The 19,970-nt window shown below is 45.9% G+C and overlaps 4 non-coding genes across 4 annotated transcripts, besides 9 other annotated features; all 4 read right to left on the bottom strand.

Moving 5' to 3' along the window:
• Positions 9,720-9,885: a silencer, noted in NCBI's record as "fragment chr1:145394896-145395061 (GRCh37/hg19 assembly coordinates)". NCBI's record gives its function as "represses an EF-1alpha promoter that drives an FKBP-Casp9 reporter gene in an ReSE screen in K562 erythroleukemia cells {active_cell/tissue: K562}" and the evidence as "EXISTENCE:reporter gene assay evidence [ECO:0000049][PMID:32094911]".
• Positions 10,268-10,437: a silencer, noted in NCBI's record as "silent region_1274". NCBI's record gives its function as "represses an Ori minimal core promoter by ATAC-STARR-seq in GM12878 lymphoblastoid cells {active_cell/tissue: GM12878}" and the evidence as "EXISTENCE:reporter gene assay evidence [ECO:0000049][PMID:35858748]".
• Positions 10,268-10,952: a biological region, named in NCBI's record as "NANOG-H3K27ac-H3K4me1 hESC enhancer GRCh37_chr1:145395462-145396128".
• Positions 10,286-10,952: an enhancer, noted in NCBI's record as "NANOG-H3K27ac-H3K4me1 hESC enhancer chr1:145395462-145396128 (GRCh37/hg19 assembly coordinates)". NCBI's record gives its function as "activates a minimal SCP1, AML or CMV promoter by ChIP-STARR-seq in naive and primed H9 embryonic stem cells {active_cell/tissue: H9 hESC(naive and primed)}" and the evidence as "EXISTENCE:reporter gene assay evidence [ECO:0000049][PMID:30033119]".
• TRK-CTT2-1 (tRNA-Lys (anticodon CTT) 2-1) lies at positions 10,346-10,418 on the bottom strand. The gene has a single exon. It is a non-coding gene; the product is annotated as a tRNA-Lys (tRNA).
• Positions 10,648-10,757: an enhancer, noted in NCBI's record as "active region_1630". NCBI's record gives its function as "activates an Ori minimal core promoter by ATAC-STARR-seq in GM12878 lymphoblastoid cells {active_cell/tissue: GM12878}" and the evidence as "EXISTENCE:reporter gene assay evidence [ECO:0000049][PMID:35858748]".
• Positions 11,658-11,857: a silencer, noted in NCBI's record as "silent region_1273". NCBI's record gives its function as "represses an Ori minimal core promoter by ATAC-STARR-seq in GM12878 lymphoblastoid cells {active_cell/tissue: GM12878}" and the evidence as "EXISTENCE:reporter gene assay evidence [ECO:0000049][PMID:35858748]".
• On the bottom strand, positions 11,704-11,775 carry TRH-GTG1-1 (tRNA-His (anticodon GTG) 1-1). The gene has a single exon. It is a non-coding gene; the product is annotated as a tRNA-His (tRNA).
• Positions 12,308-12,357: an enhancer, noted in NCBI's record as "active region_1629". NCBI's record gives its function as "activates an Ori minimal core promoter by ATAC-STARR-seq in GM12878 lymphoblastoid cells {active_cell/tissue: GM12878}" and the evidence as "EXISTENCE:reporter gene assay evidence [ECO:0000049][PMID:35858748]".
• Positions 12,598-12,787: a silencer, noted in NCBI's record as "silent region_1272". NCBI's record gives its function as "represses an Ori minimal core promoter by ATAC-STARR-seq in GM12878 lymphoblastoid cells {active_cell/tissue: GM12878}" and the evidence as "EXISTENCE:reporter gene assay evidence [ECO:0000049][PMID:35858748]".
• On the bottom strand, positions 12,687-12,758 carry TRG-TCC2-1 (tRNA-Gly (anticodon TCC) 2-1). The gene has a single exon. It is a non-coding gene; the product is annotated as a tRNA-Gly (tRNA).
• Positions 14,006-14,245: a silencer, noted in NCBI's record as "silent region_1271". NCBI's record gives its function as "represses an Ori minimal core promoter by ATAC-STARR-seq in GM12878 lymphoblastoid cells {active_cell/tissue: GM12878}" and the evidence as "EXISTENCE:reporter gene assay evidence [ECO:0000049][PMID:35858748]".
• TRE-CTC1-1 (tRNA-Glu (anticodon CTC) 1-1) lies at positions 14,056-14,127 on the bottom strand. Its single transcript has one exon. It is a non-coding gene; the product is annotated as a tRNA-Glu (tRNA).

Here is a 19,970-nt window from a genome sequence, read left to right as displayed (position 1 = left end):
CAAGCATTTATTGGGCACCTACTAGGTGCTAGGCTGGCTCTGGGCGAAGGGCTGCAGCCTGTGCAAACTCCAGGTCCCTGTCCGGTGGATCCCACCTCTGAGGGCCCGAGGGTGACGCGGTGAGGACACCACGGGTTCTGGTCCTTCCCACGCGCGCGTCCGCTAGCCCAGGCCCGGCGGAAATGACTGTGAGCTCAAGGTGTGAAGCGGGGCTAAGAATGGGAAAGCGAGTGACTTCCGCCGGAGAAGCTGCAGTTGTCGCCTGTAGAGGGGCCGGCGACTTTTGAGACGGTGAAGAGCAGGCGGGGGAACCAGTGAAGAGCAGACGGTGAGGAGCAGGCGGCCGTTTGGCCGTTGGAGTCCCCCAGCTGACTCTGCCCGGGTAGAACGTCCAAAGTGCCCAAAGACTCGACTCTTGGCTTCAATGTCTCCCGTGTTCTGGGTTTCTGGAGTGCGCGGGATTGGACAGGCTACAAACATATGAGATTATCTACGGCCAGAGGTTAAAATGCCATTTCTGGTATCAGCAAATCTAAACCATTAGAGTCTCTGTGGCGCCATCGGTTAGTGCCTTCGGCTGTTTGAACCGAAAGGCTGGTGGTTCAAGCCCACCCAGAGATGGTACCTTTTACTTAGGCAAGATTCACGCTTTCTGTTTAAAGACTTTAATCCTGGGAATCTTCCGGACCTCTACTAGCTTTAAATTCGATGCCAAAATACGCTGTGCGAAGGCTCAAGTTCCATGGAAGTTCCTAAAAACAAGAATATTTCAGCAAAAGTAATTTTTCAATAGAGCCTGAGCCTGGGGCTTCAGAGCTTACTCCAGAGCCACTGCACTTATTTCATCACTTCCTGAAGCTGGGTTTTTACAACTGCACATTCCTGGAAATCCAAAACTCCCAATAATTGAAAACAAGAAAATCCCAGTCTTCACTTGTGGTGAAGCCTCAATTTCCAGGTTGAAATCTTGGTTGGTTCATGATGTGACTTTTAAAACGTTACTGAATTTTCTGTATCTCTATTTCTTCATCTATAAAAACAGAAAAAAAAAAGTGCTTCCCTTTCCTGGGTGTGGTGGCTCATGCCTGTAATTGCAGCAGTTTGGGAGGATGAGGCGGGCAGATCACCTAAGGTTAGGAGTTCGAGACCTGCCTGGTCAACTTGGTGAAACCCCATCTCTACTAAAAATACAAAAATGAGCTGGGCGTGGTGGCAGGTGCCTGTAATCCCAGCTACTTGAGAGGCTGAGGCAGGAGAATAGTTTGAACCCAGGAGGCAGAGGTTGCAGTGAGCCAAGATTGCGCCACTGCACTCCAGCCTGGTAACAGAGCCGACTCCATCTCAAAAAATAATAATAATAATAAATAAATAAACAATGCTTCTCTCATGGATTAATCTAACATTTGTGAATCCAAAAGTATGTGAGACAGGTCTCAATAAATTTAGAAAGTTTACCTTGCAAGGTTAAGGTGGCACCCATGACACAGTTTCAGGAGGTCCTGGCAACATGTGCCCAAGGTGGTCGGGTACAGCTTGCTTTTATTCATTTTAGGGAGACAGAATACATCGATCAATACATGTAAGATTTACACTGCTTCAATCTGGAAGGGCGGGACAACTCAAAGGGTGGGGGGCTTCCAGGTCATAGATTTAAAATTTTTCTGATTAGCTATTGGTTGAAAGAGTTCTTATTCCAGAAGGGAATTTCTGGGTTAGATAGGGGGTTGTGGAGACCAAGGTTTTACCATGCAGATGAAGCCTCCAGGTAGCAGGCTTCAGAGAAAATAGATTGTAAATGTTTCTTATCAGACTTAAGGTCTGTGTTGATGTTAATGCTGGTTGGCTTTTCCTGAGTTCCAAAAGGAAGGAGGGTATAATGAGGCATGTCCAACTTCTTCCCATCATGGCCTGAACTAGTTTTTCAGGTTAACTGTGGAATGACCTTGACCTAGAGCAGGGGTCCATTCACATGGCTGGGGGGCCTTAGAATTTTATTTTTGGTTACACATTTGATGAGAAATACACATAAAGCATTTGAGCACCTAATAAATGTTCATTAAACGTTAGCTGCTATAATTATTTTCAGTGGCATCATCATCACCACTTTCATATTTTACCTCAGGCTTTTAAACAACTGCTTATCTTTTTATGGTATGGATGAACCAGTATATATTTAAATGGCCCTCAGCTAATGGACACAAAATTGTGTCTAATGCTTATTCTTATAAAAAATTATTCAGAGAACATCCTTATACAACTATCTTTCATCATTTGTGCAGGGATTTCTTTTTTTTTTTTTTTTTTTTTTTTTTTTTTTTTTTTTTTTTTTGAGACGGTGTCTTGGTCTGCTGCCCAGGCTGGAGTGCAGTGGTACGATCTCGGCTCACTGCAAGCTCCGCCTCCCAGGTTCACGCCATTCTCCTGCCTCAGCCTCCAGAGTAGCTGGGACTACAGGCGCCCGCCACCAGGCCCAGCTAATTTTTGTATTTTTAGTAGAGACTGGGTTTCACTGTGTTAGCCAGGATGGTCTCGATCTCCTGATCTCATGATCTGCCTGCCTTGGCCTCCCAAAGGCCTGGGATTACAGGTGTGAGCTGTGCAAGGATTTCTTAAAACACACTTCTAGAAATAGACTTCCCTGGTCAAAGTATTTGTGCCTTTCCAGTTTTTCTAATTGATGCTTAATTGACCTCTAAAGAAGTTGGGCCTAGTCATATTCCCACATCCTAAGAGAATGCTCCTTCCTTGGCCACACTATCTGACATTTAATAGCAGCACAAACTCTTCACTTTTGTTTGGGGAATATTATTGCTTGCAGGTCTCACACATAGCACTGAATCTTACAGGTAAGGAGCTGGTGCTACCCTGTTCTCCTTTGTTCTCCTGACCCCTGAGAATTCTGGGAAAGTGGTTCACAAGAGAGACTTGAGGTTGGATTCACCTGACTGTAAAAGTGCTGACAATGGGTGTTCCCACTGTTCCTGTGACAGAGAGCCCAGGCTTCAGCTGCTGAAGAAGAACTCAGACCTAACCCTCCAGGGCGGGACCTTTAATTTGGCACAGAGTTGGTCCTTAGCCAAATAAAAATTGAAAAGGGGAGATTTTAAATTTTCATCTAATTAAGACTTTATATAATGGATCTTTTTCTTATTGTGGCAACAAGAGGAGAGATTGCATTCTTGGGCTTTTATTGTTGGAACTTAATAATACTGGCTATTCTACTGCTCTTGTGGAATTGTTTGGTCTATGCTGGTACATGGTACTTGCTATGAAACACTGTCTGGTGAGCTGGATAGGCAAGTAGCTAAAGAAAACGTCATAAGAAACAGAAATAGGAGTTGAGTCCAATCTCTCTCCTGCACTGCAAGATTCTGTTGCAGTGGTACCTACACCTATTGCCATAGCACCCCCCAAATTTTCTTTAAAGCTAAGAAAATAGAAATAGAGGATGGATTCTCAAATAGATATACCTAGAGTTAGTTAAGTAAAGTCTGATTTTGATTCTTTCAGAGGTTTGGATGTCTTAGTTATCTCAGGCTGCTGTAACAAAATACCATCTACTGGGTGGCTTAAACATTTATTTCTCACAGTTCTGGAGGCTGAGATGTCCAAGATCAAGGTGCCAGCAGGTTTGGTTCTTGGTGTGAGTCCTCTTCCTAGCTTCTAGATAGTGATTTTTTTTTTTTTTTTGTACAGTATTTACCCTGGCAATAATAATCTTATTTTTCCATTTGGTTAGTTTTTCATGTATTTATTACTTAATACTAGCCAATTTCTCCCCAGCTCTGTAAATCTCCCCTCAACACATAGAAACACAAAATCATTTTGATTGGTTTGCCTGCTTGTATGTTTGTTCAAGAAATTTTTCCTGGCCCAGCGTGGTGGCTCATGTCTGTAATCCCAGCACTTTGGGAGGCCCAGGCAGGTGGATCACCTGAGGTCAGGAGTTCAAGAACAGCCTGGCCAGCGTGGTGAAACCCCGTCTTTACTAAAAATACAAAAATTAGTCGGGCATGGTGGGGGGCGCCTGTAATCCCAGCTACTCGGGAAGCTGAGGGCAGGAGAATCACTTGAACTGGGCAGGCGGAGGTTGCAGTGAGCCAAGATTGCACCACTGCATTCCAGCCTGGGCAAAAGAGCGAGACTCCTTCTCAAAAAAAAAAAAAAAAAAGAAAGAAAGAAAAATTTTTCCTGGCACATTTCTATCTGTTCCGTTCTGGATGACTTGCTCTTCAGGCTTATCCCACAGCTGTTATCATAATATCTCTCTTTACTGCACCATCTTGGGATTTCCATCGCCTCTCTCTTTTGTTAGATCCCCTGCTTCATGGATCTCAAGGGGGTTCATTCTTCACTCACTTCTTCCTTTTGATGATGCATATCCTCCAAAACCTCCTATAAAGTGGTTACCTTAGAAATAAACTTTTTGAGACACTGCATGTCTGAAAATGTCTATTATACCCATACACTTAATTGATATTTTACTAGATAGAGATACATAGAGATAGGTTGAAATAATTTCTCTCAAATTTTTAAAAGCACTGCTTTTTTTTTTTTTTTTTTTTTGAAACAGAGTCTCGCCTCGCTCCGTCGCCCAGGCTGGAGTGCGGCGGCGGGATCTCGGCTCACTGCAACCTCCACCTGCCGGGTTCAAGCGATTCTCCTGCCTCAGCCTCCCCAGTAGCTGGGATTACAGGCACCCGCCACCACGCCCGGCTAATTTTTTAATTTTTAGTAGAGATGGGGTTTCGCCATGTTAGCCAAGCTGGTTTTGAGAGGAGAGCACTCCTCATATTGTCTTATACTTAATTTCTTGTTTGCTGAAAAAGTGGAGGTTGAAAGAATGGGCAGAAGTGAAAATCGTGGTCAGACAACCGGGCGCCACATTTCGGGCCTTGTTGTTAAAATTCAACCCCTGACCTCACCACTTGCGCTGTCTATAAATTCCAGACATTGTATAAAAACGCATTATGAAACTCCCTTTTCTGTTCTGTTTCGTTCTGATTACCGGTGCATGCAGCCCCCAGTCACGTACCCCTCGCTTGCTCAATCGATCATGACCTCTCCCTCCACCCACAGCCCCTTTAGAGTTGTGAGCCTTTAAAAGGGACAGGAATTACTTATTCGGGGAGCTCCGTTTCTAGGACGTGAGTCGGCCGACGCTCCCAACTGAATAAAGCTCTTACCTTCCACAATCCGGTGTCTGAGGGATTTTGTCTACGACCTCTCCTGCTACAGTTTCAAACTCCTGACCTCAAGTGATCCGCCTCCCTCGGCTTTGCAAAGTGCTGGGATTACAGGCGTGAACCACCGCGCCCGGCCCTTGTTGTTTACTGTTTCCCTATAGTCTTTTTTTTTTTTTTTTTTTTTTTTTGAGACGGAGTCTCGCTCTGTTGCCCAGGCTGGAGTGCAGTGGCACAATCTCGGTTCACTGCAACCTCTGCCTCCTAGGTTCAAGCGATTCTTCTGCCTTAGCCTCCCAAGTAGCTGGGACTACAGGCATACACCACTATGGCCAGCTAATTTTTGTATTTTTAGTAGAGACGGGGTTTCACCATATTGGCCAGGCTGGTCTCGAACTCCTGACCTCGTGATCCGCCCGCCTCGGGCTCCGAAAGTGCAGGGATTACAGGAGTGAGCCACTGCGCCCGGCCTACTGTTTTCCATAGTCGTTTCTGAGAAAGAAAAAGTAACCCTTTTCTGCTCTCAGCTAGAGCTGGTCTGATAAACACCTAGGCCATGATGTTCTCCGGTTCAAACTAAAAATTTCACAACACCAATATCAGACAAAGCTACCCTCTCACCAAGATGAAAGAAAGACTATTTCACAATCATATTTGAGCACAAACAGAACACTGTTCAAACCATAATATGATCAAACATTCCCCTTTCCCAGCTACTAATAGTGACTGTTAATTCTTTTATTTTTTATTTTTTTGAGACGGAGTCTTGCTCTGTCGCCAGGCTGGAGTGCAGTGGCGTGATCTCGGCTCACTGCAACCTCTGCCTCCCGGGTTCAAGCGATTCTCCTGTCTCAACCTCCGGAGTAGCTGGGACTACAGGCGCCCACCACCACACTCAGCTAATTTTTGTATTTTTAGTAGAGACGGGGTTTCACCATATTGGCCAGGCTGGTCTCGAACTCCTGACCTTGTGATCTGCCCGCCTTGGCCTCTCAAAGTGTTGGGATTACAGGCGTGAGCCACTGCACCTGGCCTTATTTTTTATTTTATTTTATTTTTTTGAGACAGTCTCTGTCACCCAGGCTGGAGTGCAGGGACGTCATCTCAGCTCACTGCAACCTCTGCCTCCTGGGTTCAAGCGATTCTCCTCCCTCAGCCTCTTAAGTAGCTGGGATTACAGGCATGCCCAACCATGCTCGGCTAACTTTTGTATTGACTGTTGATTCTTTACCAATTATGTGTTTAGTTCTGCAACCATTCCTCCCACTTTCTAGATAAAAATATCGAGATTCCCAGGGGAAGAATTGTCCCACAATTTCCCCATAGTGTTTGCTGTCTCCTCTGTTGCAATGAGCCAATATACTCAGATTTGACTATAGGTTTGTTCCTGATGGTTATAGACTGGAGCGCCTCAACACCGTAGAGAAGATGGATGCCGTTCTGATTCTTTGTTATTTGCCTTAAACTGTTCTCCCAGCTCCCCTCCCAAAAGCTTATAGAATCTTCTACCTGTTCCTACTATTCTGAAACTTCATGATCTATTTTCATCCACCATGCTGGGTACACAGTGTGCTCTTTCAATATAGGAATGTATATTTTGGAGGTATCATTCCAAAGATGTTTATGCATATACAGTTAAAGGTATATATTTATTTCCTGCAACTACCATCACCCTTTTGATATACTTTTGCTGCATAATAAACCATCCCAAGCTTATTGACTTAGAATAACAATAAGTTATTATTTTGTGAAGGCACCAACATTTGCCCAAAGCAAGTCACATAGCCAATCCCAGATTCAAACAGAGGAGAAATAGACTCTCTTGATGAGAGAAGCTGGAAAATATAACCAACATTTTTTTCTTTTTCTTTTTTTTTGAGACGGAGTTTCGCTCTTATTGCCCAGGCTGGAGTGCAATGGTGCAATCTCAGCTCACCGCAACCTCCGCCTCCCAGGTTCAAGCTATTCTCCTGCCTGAGCTTCCCTAGTAGCTAGGATTACAGGCATGTGCCACCACGCCTGGCTAATTTTGTATTTTTAGTAGAGACAGGGTTTCTCCATGTTGGTCAGGCTGGTCTCGAACTCCTGACCTCAGTGATCCGCCTGCCTCGGCCTCACAAAGTGCTGGGATTACAGGCGTGAGCCACCGCGCCCGGCCATGACACAAAGTTTAAAAGAAAAATTTTTTAAAATTTTTTTTGGTCAGGCGTGATGGCTCACACCTATAATCCCAGGACTTTGGGAGGCCAAAGTGGGTGGATCACGAGTTTGAGAACAGCCTGGCCAATATGGTAAAACCCCATCTCTACTAAAAATACAAAAAAATTAGTCGGGGGTGGTGGTGCGCACATGTGGTCCCAACTACTGGAGAGACTGAGGTGGGAGAATCACTTGAATCTGGGAGGCGAAGGTTGTAGGGAGCCAAGATTGTGCCACTGCACTCCAGCCTGGGCGACAGAGATTCAGTCTCCAAGAAAAAAAGTTTTTTTACTTTTATAGATATTGTCATAAGGCACCCTGTAGAACTTGTACCAACTTATCCTCCATTCACAAGGTATATTAACCTTCCCGCCGGGCGCGGTGGCTGAAGCCTGTAATCCCAGCACTTTGGGAGGCCAAGGCGAGCGGATCACAAGGTCAGAAGATCGAGACTATCCTGACTAACACACTGAAACCCCGTCTCTACTGACAATACAAAAATTAGCAGGGCGTGGTGGCGGGCGCCTGTAGTCCCAGCTACTCGGGAGGCTGAGGAAGGAAAATGGCGTGAACCCTGGAGGCGGAGCTTGCAGTGAGCCGAGATCTGCCACTACACTCCAGCCTGGGCGAAAATGCGAGACTCTGTCTCAAAAAAAAAAAAAAAAAAAAAAAAAAACCCTCTCCAACATAAACTTTAGGAAAATTTACCATTAGTTTGGGCACAGTGGCTCAGGCCTGTAATCCCAACACTTTGGGAGGCTGAGGTGGGCATATCGCTTGAGTCCAGGAGTTTGGGACCACCCTAGGCAATACAGTGAGCCCTCATCTCTACAAAAAGTTAAAAAATCAGCCAAGCATGATGGCAAGCGCCTGTAGACCCAGCTACTTGGGAGGCTAAGGTAGGAGGATCAGCTGAGCCTGAGGGAGGTGGAGGTTGCAGTGAGCCAAGATCATGATACTGCCCTCCATCTTGGGTGACAGAGCGAGATACTGTCTCTAAAAAAAAAAAGAAAGAATTCCTTGGATATTTCTCCTTGGTATTTTCCTTTTGAACTTTATAATCATATTGTCTAGTTTGAATAAAAAAGAAAAAATTCTTTGGACAGTTTTATGAAAATCATGTTAAATTCAGACACCAAGTAAAGGAGAGGTGCTGTCTTTATGATGTTGAGTCTCCTATCCAAGAATATGATACACCCTCGGTTAATAGGGAAGGAGGCTGCCCTAATGCAGTGGTTCCCAAACTTGAACATTCCAAACTCCCTAGAGAGCTTGTTAAGTAACAGATTGTTGGGGCCACCCTCGGGGTTTCTGATTCCATAGGTCTAAGGTGGCACTCAATAGTTTGCGTTTATCTCAAGTTTCCAGGTGATACTGAAGATGATTGTCCTGGGACCACACTTTGAGAATAACTGGTCATTTTGGAGATGGTTGGTGGACTATATGTAAGTGAGACTAAAGCATATTTACACTCTTAAAAAATAAAAAGTACTGGTAAATGATCCTTAGGGAAAGGAGGTGGAAGATCTGTAGGAGGAGTTGAAAAGGAATGTTCAGGCCGGGAGCGGTGGCTCATGCCTGTAATCCCAGCATTTTAGGAGGCCAAGGCGGGCAGATCACCTGAGTTCAGGGGTTCGAGACCAGCCTGGCCAACATGGTGAAACCCTGTCTCTACTAAAAATACAAAAATTAGCTGGGCTTGATGGCGGTCGCCTGTAATCCCCAGCTACTCGGGAGGCTGAGGAGGGAGAATCGCTTGAACCCGGGAGGCGGAGGTTGCAGTGAGCCGAGATCGGGGCACTGCACTCCAGCCTGGGTGACAGAGCGAGACTCTGTCTCAAAAAAAAAAAAAAAAAAAAAAAAGAATGTCTCTTGAATGGTGCCAATCTTGGCTTCCACCCACCTGGCAAACCAACTTAACCTACGCCAGCAAAAGCAACAGTTAAAGCTAATTTAGCAGGAACAAATGTAAGGCAAACAACTCCAGGCTTTCGGGAACAGAAAAAAGTTCTCCGGTGGATCAATAACTAATTCAAAGTAGTGGACCCAGCACTCTGGAGTGGCAGCCTATATTCATCAAATAAGACTGCAACTGTTAACTCCCTACTCGCTGCCCTACCCGTTCGTCTTTGCTCCTCCTTTTCTTTGCTCTTCCGCTTCTCTCCTCCGCCTCCTCAACTTCTTTTCTAGAGCCCTCTCCTCTTTTTCCTGACCTTCCTAAAATGGTTGTATTTTACAGCCCTTTGCGGCTGATGAAGGCTTCAAAACCTAAAAAGCAAACAGATGCTCCCTAACACCTAGCTGAGAATATTTTAACTCACTACAAAGGCCTTTCAAAACCCCATTCAAAATTTCCCACCAACAAGAAGAGAACCAGTATTTCCCTCTGGAGCCGTCCTAAGGCTGTTCTCCCTGGAGCAGTGTCGGAGCGATTTTGGACTCTTCTCAGAGCTGCTCAGCTTGTCTGCCTTCGCCCAGTTGAGAAGCCCATCGTGGATTCGAAGTATGTGGTCACTACAGACACTAGAATCCCCAGATTCCTCTTTTCTTTTTTTTTTCTTTTTTTTGAGACCGAGTGCAATGGCGTGATCTCGGCTCACCGCAACCTCCGTCTTCCAGGTTCAAGCAATTCTCCTGCCTCAGCCTCCCGAGTAGCTGAGATTACAGGCATGCACCTCCACGCCCGGCTAATTTTGTATTTTTAGTAGAGAAGGGGTTTCTCCGTGTTGAGGCTGGTCTCGAACTCCTGACCTCAGGTGATCCGCCCACCTCGGCCTCCCAAAGTACTGGGATTACAGGCGTGAGCCACCGCGCCCGGCCCAGATTCCTCTTTTCTTGATGAATTTGGGGTGAATGGAGATGATTTCTGGAATCAGTTACCGTAAAAGGACAGTAGCCGCTGTGGCGATTTAGAAGTTCATGTTTCCATGGTAGCTAAGCGAGAGGGTTAAATAAAAACACAGCGCCCAACGTGGGGCTCGAACCCACGACCCTGAGATTAAGAGTCTCATGCTCTACCGACTGAGCTAGCCGGGCACTGATTACTGGCGTCTTCTTATATGGAATCATTTTCCACTGACGGAGCGGTTGTATGATCTAATTGCATATTATTGCGTGTGAAAGAAGTTTCAGGACCTAGGACTGGTGGACACGGCAGTAGCCTTTTCATAATAGCTTTTTGCCATGAAGGAATTCGGGGTTTAGAGAGCGATGGGGGCTGCAGAGAGCCAGGAAGTCTCGCGGAGGACTCGGGAATCACGAGTCCTGCCTGAAACCTTAGTGTTTTCCGCACATTCCTTCCACTGAGGGAACCTCCTCACCCACTTCAGAGGAGGGTGCGAAAGAGCCCAAGGAAACTCAGATGAGAGGCGCAAAGACCTCTCTGCAAAGCATTTTAATTCTCCATCCTGGAAGAGGCACTGAGTTCCAGAGTCACAAGGGAAGGGTTCTCTCCTCTGCTCAAGTGAAGGCCAAAAGAACAACCGTGGTCCCAGCTCCGTGGGCCTCCATATCGCTCTAAAGCTTCCCGCCTGGGCTGCTTAGCACCTTGGTGGGCGAGCCGCAGTGTGAGCCAACTGGAACTATTGTTGTTTGAGACAGGGTCCCGCTCTGTCGCCCAGGCTGGAGTGCAGTGGCGCGATCATAGTTCATTGCAGCCTCTACTTCCCGGGCTCAAGCGATGCTCCCACTTCACCCTCCCTAAGTAGCTGGGACCAAAAGCGCCCGCCACCATCTTAAAAATTCTTTTTCTGGCCGGGGGCGATGGCTCAAGCCTGTAATCCCAGCACTTTGGGAGGCCGAGGCGGGTGGATCACGAGGTCAGGGGTTCGAGACCAGCCTGACCAACATAGTGAAACCTCGTCTCTACTAAAGATACAAAAATTAGCTGGGCGTGGTGGCGGGCGCCTGTAATCCCAGCTACTCAGGAGGCTGAGGCAGGAGAATTGCTTGAACCCGGGAGGCGGGGGTTGCAGTGAGCCGAGATCGCGCCACTGCACTCCAGCCTGGGCGACAGAGCAAGACTCTGTCTCAAAAAAAAAAAAAAAAAAAAAATTCTGACATTGTGGGGAGGCGTCTCAAGCTGGTCGCGAACTCCTGGGCTCCAGGGATTCTCCCGCCTCCGAGACTTCCCAAAGCTGCTGGGATTACGTAATGGCGCGAGCCACCACGTCGGCCTGGAGCTATTGTTATTCACCGAATCTGTGGACTGCACTTCCGCGGGGATGCCTTAAGCGAAGGCAGAATTACAAGCATGTGTCACTCTTTTAAAAGTGTTAATTAAAAAAAAAAAAAACCGCCACCCCAGCAAGTTAGAACCACCTGCCGTGACTCGGATTCGAACCGAGGTTGCTGCGGCCACAACGCAGAGTACTAACCACTATACGATCACGGCGAGCCACTAACCAGGCGGCGCGCTACAGCTGGATTTAATGCCTCTTGAAATAGGAATGGCTATTTCGTGCTACTTTTATTTGGCCAGTCCCTGACGTCCGCATCAATCAATTCCAAACTTTTTCACTCTGCAACCTTGAAGCTCCGACACCTGAATCAGTTTCTTAGACTCTAAATCCCTCGATGCCAGCGATAGCACCACCCGCTCCGCTGGGCGGCGGCGGGCCAAGGTCCTGACTAGAGGGCAGAAAGCGTCAGCTGCAACCCGGGACCACGCCGCCTCTCGCCTCTCTCCTCTCACCTCTCTGCCTCCATTTCCCTCTTCCCCCTCCAAGGAATCAAGCTGCTTCGCCCAGGGATGAGAGGGGCAGCCTCGAAGGATTTTTCAAATTACATCTGCAGCCTGTACCACGGAATTGAGGTTTCTCTTCCCAGAATGGTGGAACCGGAAGAAAAACGGAGCTAGTGAGCTGGGGAGGGGATGAGAGCCCCGTCTTAATTTCTTGCTTCCCTCACAGGTACAAGAAGCGCTGTGTACTCTCTGGCATTGTGGGAGCTTGTGCTGACTTCCTCATCTTGACTCATAAATATATCAGAGCCACCTCTGCCGATTCAGAAAAACAAATCCAACCAGCCTCTATTTCAGACACTTCCTTAGACCCCTAGGAGAGTTATTGTTAACTTCCCTAGACCCCTAGGAGAGTTATTGTTTGGACGCCAGCGGCCGAACCCATCAGACGGGCTAGGCGCGCACGTGCAGTTACCAAAATACAGATGTTTACTGTGGGAGGGACAGACCATACTGGTGCAGACCTAGGACACAAAAGTGGTCAAAACTCTTTTCCTGTGTTCCCTACTTTGCTCGGTTTCCAGGCCTACTCAGTCTAAAAAGCTGAAGAGAAAAACTGACACTGCGTTGGCCGGGAATCGAACCCGGGTCAACTGCTTGGAAGGCAGCTATGCTCACCACTATACCACCAACGCATCTGAAATACGCTTGATTCCTTTAGAGTATCAGAACTAAATAATCAGGTTTGTCTTCCCGTTTATTTCTAGGCTAAGCAATTTAGACTGCAGGAAAAACCTACAAGAGGAAAATTAAAAGGAAGCTCTCTGGAATTTCTCCTATTAAAAATTCTGTAGTAGTATCTTGTTTCACAGCTTTAAGAAAAGTCAATTCTAGTTTCCTGGACATTTATTCCACACATGCGCAAAATTACATATGTACAAGACCGTATATGACAGCATTTTTTTTTCCAAAGAGCAAAGGGCTAGAAATAACCTAAGTGTCTATAATAGGAAGCTGGCTAAACTAATTATGGAAAATCCATACAACGGAATGCTATGTGCCAGAAGAAAGAATGAGGAAGTTCTTCATGTCTAATCTGTAAGTACTTCCAAAATATACTGTTAAATGGAAAAGGCAAAGTGCAGAAAGTGTGTATAGATTACTTCCATTTGTACAAGGGGGAGAGAATGTTTAAATATATATACGTATGTATATATGCATGTACTTGCATTTGCATAAAACATCTCTAACATCATGAAGAAACTTAACAGCGGTTACTTCATTAGAGAGAAAATAAATGGTAGAGGTGAAAGGTTTATCAGTTCTGCCCTTTTGTATATTTGAATCCTAAACCATGTAAATATATTACCTTTTCGAAAATCCAGTAATTAAATTGAAAGAAAATACGTTACTGAAGGATATTTATTTCCACTGCAAAGTGTTAGAAATACATTGTTAACCTTAAAAATAGCTGGTGTTGGCCGAGCATGGTAGCTCACGCCTATAATCCCGTCACTTTGGTAAGGCAGAGGCGGGTGGATCACCTGAGGTCAGGAGTTCGAGACCGGCCTCACCAATATGGTGAACCCCGTCTCTACTACAAATACAAAATTAGCCGGGCGTGGTAGCGCAGGCCTGTAATCCCAGCTACTTGGGAGGCTGAGGCAGGAGAATCGCTTGAACCCGGGAGGCGGAGGTTGCAGTGAGCCGAGATCGCGCCACTGCACTCCAGCCTGGGGCAACGACAGCGAAACTCCGTCTCAACAACAACAAAAACAGCTGGTGATAAAATAGTATTATAGCATACTTCCACTTTGTTTCAAAACCTAGATATTGAGTGGTCTTCGGGTGATAGAATGGTGAGCGATTTCTTTATTTGTGTTTTTCTACATTTTCTGTATTTCAGTTTTCAGTGGGATGGGGAAGATTGACTAGCAGATAACGTTTATTTAAAAGATCCTGAGAGAAAGCAGTAAAAGAAGATGTTACTCTTTCCCTGACCGGGAATCGAACCCGGGCCGCGGCGGTGAGAGCGCCGAATCCTAACCACTAGACCACCAGGGAAGCTGCTAACCCTTCCCGGTTGCAGCTATATGATTCTACTAAGTGCTGCGGTTCGTGCCTGTAACTGCTAAACACTGAAGCCAAAGTGGCCAGATTGCTGGAGCTCCTAGTTCGAGACCAGCCTGGGCAAAGTGGCAAACCCGGGCTCTATCAAAAGCACAAAAAAATTAGCCGGGCGTGGTGGCGCTTGCCTGTAGTCCCATCTACCCGAGAGGCCGGATCGCTTGAGCCTGGTAGGCGGAGGTTGCAGCGAGCCGTGATCGTGCCACTGCACTCCAACTTGATGACAGGGCCAGAGCCTTCCTCAAAAAAAAAAAAAAAATTACATTATTCTAACTAAAAGTTTATTTCCACTTATTCTTTTTCATATTATTTTTCACTGCCTAGATTCTGAGATTCTTGCATACTGGGCCTTTCCTATGTTGGGGCTTCTTCCCGGTACTTCTTTCCTGCAGTAGAAAACATTGTGAAAGAATTCTCCAGCCCGGCTCTCAGAGCCTAGGGAGCATCGTGTACACGTGATTACAGTCCCCAAGACCAGAGACCAATGTCCGGAGAGAAGAGGGTGAGACAGAGAGGAAGCTCACCTCCTTGTAGTTGCAGTGATTTCCGAAATTGTGAACATTAGAAAAGTAGAGACCCAGCTACGTCTTTGCCAAAAACAACCAGGAACTTTTCCTTAAGGAACATAAAAGACGTCATGCGAGTAACACTAGGAGATCCTGGGCCCACTGTACCTTTTTTCATGTCGTGTGAATTGTAGGCCAAACTGTTAAAACAAATATTACAGACGAGTGAAAATCACTCAGCCTAGAGGTACTTGGTGCTCAGCAGGATCTGAGCTCAACTCACTAGTGGGAGACTAAGAGAAACTCAGGGCCTTTAACCTTTAAAAATTACGAGGTCCCGGGCGCGGTGGCTAATGCCTGTAATCCCAGCACTTTGCGAGGCCGAGGCGGGTGGATCACGAGGTCAAGAGATCGAGATCATTCTGGCCAACATAGTGAAACCCCGTCTCTACTAAAAATACAAAAAGTAGCCGGCGTGGTGGCGGGCGCCTGTAGTCCCAGCTACTCGGGAGGCTGAGGCAGGAGAATCGTTTGAACCCGGGAGGCGGAGGTTGCAGTGAGCGGAGATTGCGCCATTGCACTCCAGCCTGGGCATCAAGAGTGAAACTTTGTCTCAAAAAAAAAAAAAAAAAAAAAAATTATGAGGAAGCCGGGCGCAGTGGCTCAGACGCCTGTAATCCCAGGACTTTGGGAGGCTGAGGCGGGTGGATTACCTGAGGTCAGAAGTTCGAGACCAACCTGGCCAACATGGTGAAATCCTGTCTCTACTAAAAATACAAAATTAGCCAGGCGTGGTGGCGCTTGCCTGTAATCCCAGGACTTTGGGAGGCTGAGGCGGGTGGATTACCTGAGGTCAGAAGTTCGAGACCAACCTGGCCAACATGGTGAAATCCTGTCTCTACTAAAAATACAAAATTAGCCAGGCGTGGTGGCGCTTGCCTGTAATCCCAGCTACTCGGGAGGCTAAGGCAGGAGACTCGCTTTAACCCAGGAGACGGAGGTTGCAGTGAGCCGAGATCACGCCATTGCACCCCAGCCTGGGCAACAAGAGCAACACAAAATAAAAATTGCGAGGAAGGAAAAGAGGGAGTGAAGAGAAAGAAAACTGGGGTGCATGCATTAATGTGTTGCAAGCTAACTTTATGAGCGAGAAAAGAAAGCAAATGCGGGCTGGATACAGTGGCTCAAGCTTGTAATCCCAGCACTTTGGGAGGCTGAGGCAGGTGGATTGCTTTGAGCTTAGGAGTTTGAAACCAGTCCGGGCAGCAGGGTGAAATCCTGTCTGTACCAAAAATTACAAAAAAAAAAAAAGAAAAAGAAAGAAAGAAATCTTAGTGAATTGTGTTTGCCATATTGTACTTTCAGCTTTTCTGTAAGCTTGAAGTTTTAAAAAATAAAAGGTTAAGAAAAAAATGAAACAATCAAAAGCCTCCCCTTCTGGTCTTTTTTGGTCAGATGACCCCAAGTGATGAATTCTGTGCCCATGAGTTCAAGCAGAAATTTTTAAAAGCAACCCCACTCCCCAAACACACTCTTACATCAGAAAATATTTTTGATAATGAATTTAAAAACTGAAAGATTGAATCATCAATGGTGTCTGTATATCAGCAAGGCCTGACAGAAAAAAAAAATGGATGGTGAGATACAGAGTTTGGGGGGATTATCATAGTTGTTGTTTTGAGACACGGTCCCACTTTGTTGCCCAGACTGTAGTGCAGTGCTGAGCTCCTACCTCAGCCTCCTGAGTAGCTGGGACTACAGGTTCCGGCCACCACACTCAGCTAATTTTGTGTCTGTGGTAGCAGAGATACTAGGCCTCACCATATTGCCCAGGTTGGTCTTAAACTCTTGGGCTCAAGCCATCCTCCCACCTCGGCCTCCCAAAGTGCTGGGATTACAGGCATAAGCCACGAAGCCTGGTCTTGTTTGGCTTCCAAAGTATCAATGTTAAAACGTTGTTCAAGAAACGTTGTTTAAATCTTCCACTCATCCAGTCTCCACTTTTCTATGGGTTTAAATGCCATAAAATAGGAAGACGAGTAACTAAATGCTAGACATTTATTTTCACAAAGACAACAAGAATCCTGTTGTCATGTCACCAAGGAGCCTAACAGAGCCCACTTCCTTTTACTCCAGCTGTTTTCACTGGACCAAGGCTGAAAAACAAAAAGCATCTAACCTTCAGAACAACATCTCAGGATCTTACCCAGAGTGGGGACAAGGCAGCAGAATTTATTTTTCTATGTTGCAGAGGAAATCAGCCTCCTGTTTTGGTCAACAGTACTTTTTCATCAATTATTCTGCCACCTGCTGGTAATTTTTTGTTAAGGACAGACCGAGGAAGGACAGACAGTATGAGCTATGGGAGCTAGCCACTTGTCTCAACATCAAAGTACCAGAAGGAATCTGGTCAAAGCACCAAGACAGGATTAAGCCTCCTCTTCTTGCCGGTAATGCATACCTAAAGTGGATGAGGAAGGAGTGTGGCTCATTTGCTTCACTCTGAGTTCTATTTTCCTTTTTTTTTTTTTTTTTTTGAGACAGAGTCTTGCTCTGTCGCCCAGGCTGGACTGCAGTGGCATGATCTCAGCTCACTGCAACCTCCACCCCTGGGTTAAAGCGATTCTCCTGCCTCAGCCCCCTGAGTAGCTGGGACTACAGATGCCCATCACCATGCCCAGCTAATTTTTGTATTTTTAGTAGAGACGGGATTTCACCATATTGGCCAGGCTGGTCTTGCACTCCTGACCTCAGGTGATCTGCCAGCCTCAGCCTCCCAAAGTGCTGGGATTACAGGCATGAGCCACCGCACCTGGCCTATTTTCCTTTTTAAAAACATTTACAGATCATGTGCCAGACGAGGTATTGAAAATCTAAAAATACACCTAAGCTGGGTGTTGTGGCTCATGCCTGTAATCCCAGCTACTTGAGAGGCTGAGGCACAAGAATTGCTTGAACCCCGGAGGTGGAGGATAGGGTGAGCTGAGATCATGCCACTGCACTCTAGGCTGGTGATAGTGCGAGACTCTGTCTCCAAACAACAGCAAAACACTTAAAGAGCTGAAAATCTAGTGTAAAACCAAATAAACAAGTGAATAAAAGAGAATGGATCAGGGAGGATTGAGTAGATGTGATCTTCCCTCGTCCTCCTCCCTGGACATTATATATAAGACAACCCTAAGAAGACTGAAATGTGGAGAGAAGGAGGTAGACCAGCTAGGAGCCCCAGAAACAAAGGCAGGACACAATGCTGATTTCTGTGGACTTTCTTTTTGCCTCATATATGCCATACTTGGAGCTAAAGAAACCAGCAACCTGGAAATCCCAATAGGAGCAGCCTAAAAATTCCCTAACAAAAGCCTGTTCTCTCTAGCCAAAGGATCAGGAATGAGGCAGTCTAGCAAAACAGAAAACTTTTAGACAATAATTGCACTATTCCAGCCAAATGCCACAGAAACAAACTGTGGCTTGTCCTCTCCTATTCTGGCAAAGACTGAATGGGGTGCCTAGACTTCCACCACCAGCAAGTCTATTAGGAATCATCCCTCTCTTTCCTGTTGGGGTGGTAGCAGAAGAAACTTAATAGAGAGTCAGGACTTTCACCCAAACTCAGTGAGTGGTAATGAGGCTACCCCCTAAGGAAAGAATCAGTGAACTGAAAGAACAGTAGAAATTACTCAATCTGGGTCAGGCGCAATGGCTCACGCCTGTAATCCCAGCACTTTGGGACACCAAAGCAGGCAGATCACTTGAGGCCAGGAGTTCAAGACCAGGCTAGCCAACATGGCAAAACCCTATCTCTACTAAAAATGCAAAAACAATTAGCTGGGTGTAGTGGCACACACCTATAATCCCAGCTACTTGGGAGGCTGAGGCTTGAACCTGGGAGGCAGAGGTTGTAGAGAGCGAAGATCGTGCCAGTGCACTCCAGCCTGTGCAACACAGTGAGACCCTGTTTCAAAAAAAAAAAAAAAACAACTCAATCTGAAAAACAAACAAAATAGACTGGGGGAAAAATGAGCAGAGAGCCTCAGGGACTTGTGAGATTATAACAAAAGATTTAGGCCAGGCACGGTAGCTCACGCCTGTAATCCTAGCACTTTGGGAGGCCAAGGCGGGCAGATCACCAGGTCAAGAGATCAAGACAATCCTGGCCAACACGGTGAAACCCCATCTCTACTAAAAATACAAAAAATTAGCTGGGCGTGTGCCTGTAGTCCCAGTTTCTGGGGAGGCTGAGGCAGGAGAATCGCTTTGAACCCGGGAGGCGGATGTTGCAGTGAGCCAAGATCGTGCCACTGCACTCCAGCCTGGCAACAGAGCGAGACTCTCTCTCAAAAAAAAAAAAAAAAAAAAAAGATTTAACATTTGCGACAGCAAATTTCCTGGAAGGAGAAGAGGAAGAGAACACGACAAAAAAAGTACCAAAGGATTTGGTACAGGGATAAACCTACAGATTCAAGAAGCTGAATGAACTCCTAACAGGATAAACCCAGACTACTTCAGGCCAAGACACATTGCAATAGTTTGGATGTTTGTCCCCTCCAAAACTTATGTTGAAATGTGATCCCCAATATTGGAGGTGGGGCCAAATGGGAGGTGTTTGGGTCATCAGGGTGGATCCCTCATGAATAGATTAATGTCCTCCCTCACCAGCAAATATGTTCTCACTCTTAGTTCCTGCAAGGGCTGGTTGTTAAAAAGAGCATGTCACCTAACCTCTTTTCTTTCCTCTTCTCTTGCCATTGATCTCTGCCCAAACCAACTTCTCTTCACCTTCCACTATGGTTGGGAGCAATCTGAGGCCCTTGCCAAATATAGATGCCCAATTTTGAACTTTCCAGCCATCAGAATCGTGACCCAAATAAACCATTTTTCTTTATAATTACCCAGCCCTCAGGTATTCCTTTATAGCAACACTAAATGAACTAAGACACACATCATAGTCAAACTGCTGAAGGCTAAAGACAAACAAAAAATATTGAATGCAGTGAGGGGAAAGCAATTTGAATAAAAGCAGATTTCTCTCTCTTTTTCTTTTTACTTATTTTGTTTTGTTGGGTTTTCTCCCATGTTCAACCAAGTTAGAAAGCCATTTTCTCATCAGAAGCCATGGAGGCCAGAGGGAAGTGGCACAAAATTGTTCAAGTGCTGCGGAAAAAGACTGTCAACTCAGATTGCTATATCCAGTGAAAACATCCTTTAAAAATGAAGGGGGTATGATTCAACAACAAAAAGACAAATAACCCACTGAAAAAATAAATATGTGAAAAA

This window comes from Homo sapiens, chromosome 1 (assembly GCF_000001405.40).
Source record: "Homo sapiens chromosome 1, GRCh38.p14 Primary Assembly".
In the NCBI taxonomy this organism is placed as follows: Eukaryota; Metazoa; Chordata; class Mammalia; order Primates; family Hominidae; genus Homo; species Homo sapiens.
The sequence above is the reverse complement of the archived record's forward strand: the minus strand, read 5'-3'. Positions and strand labels throughout refer to the sequence as shown.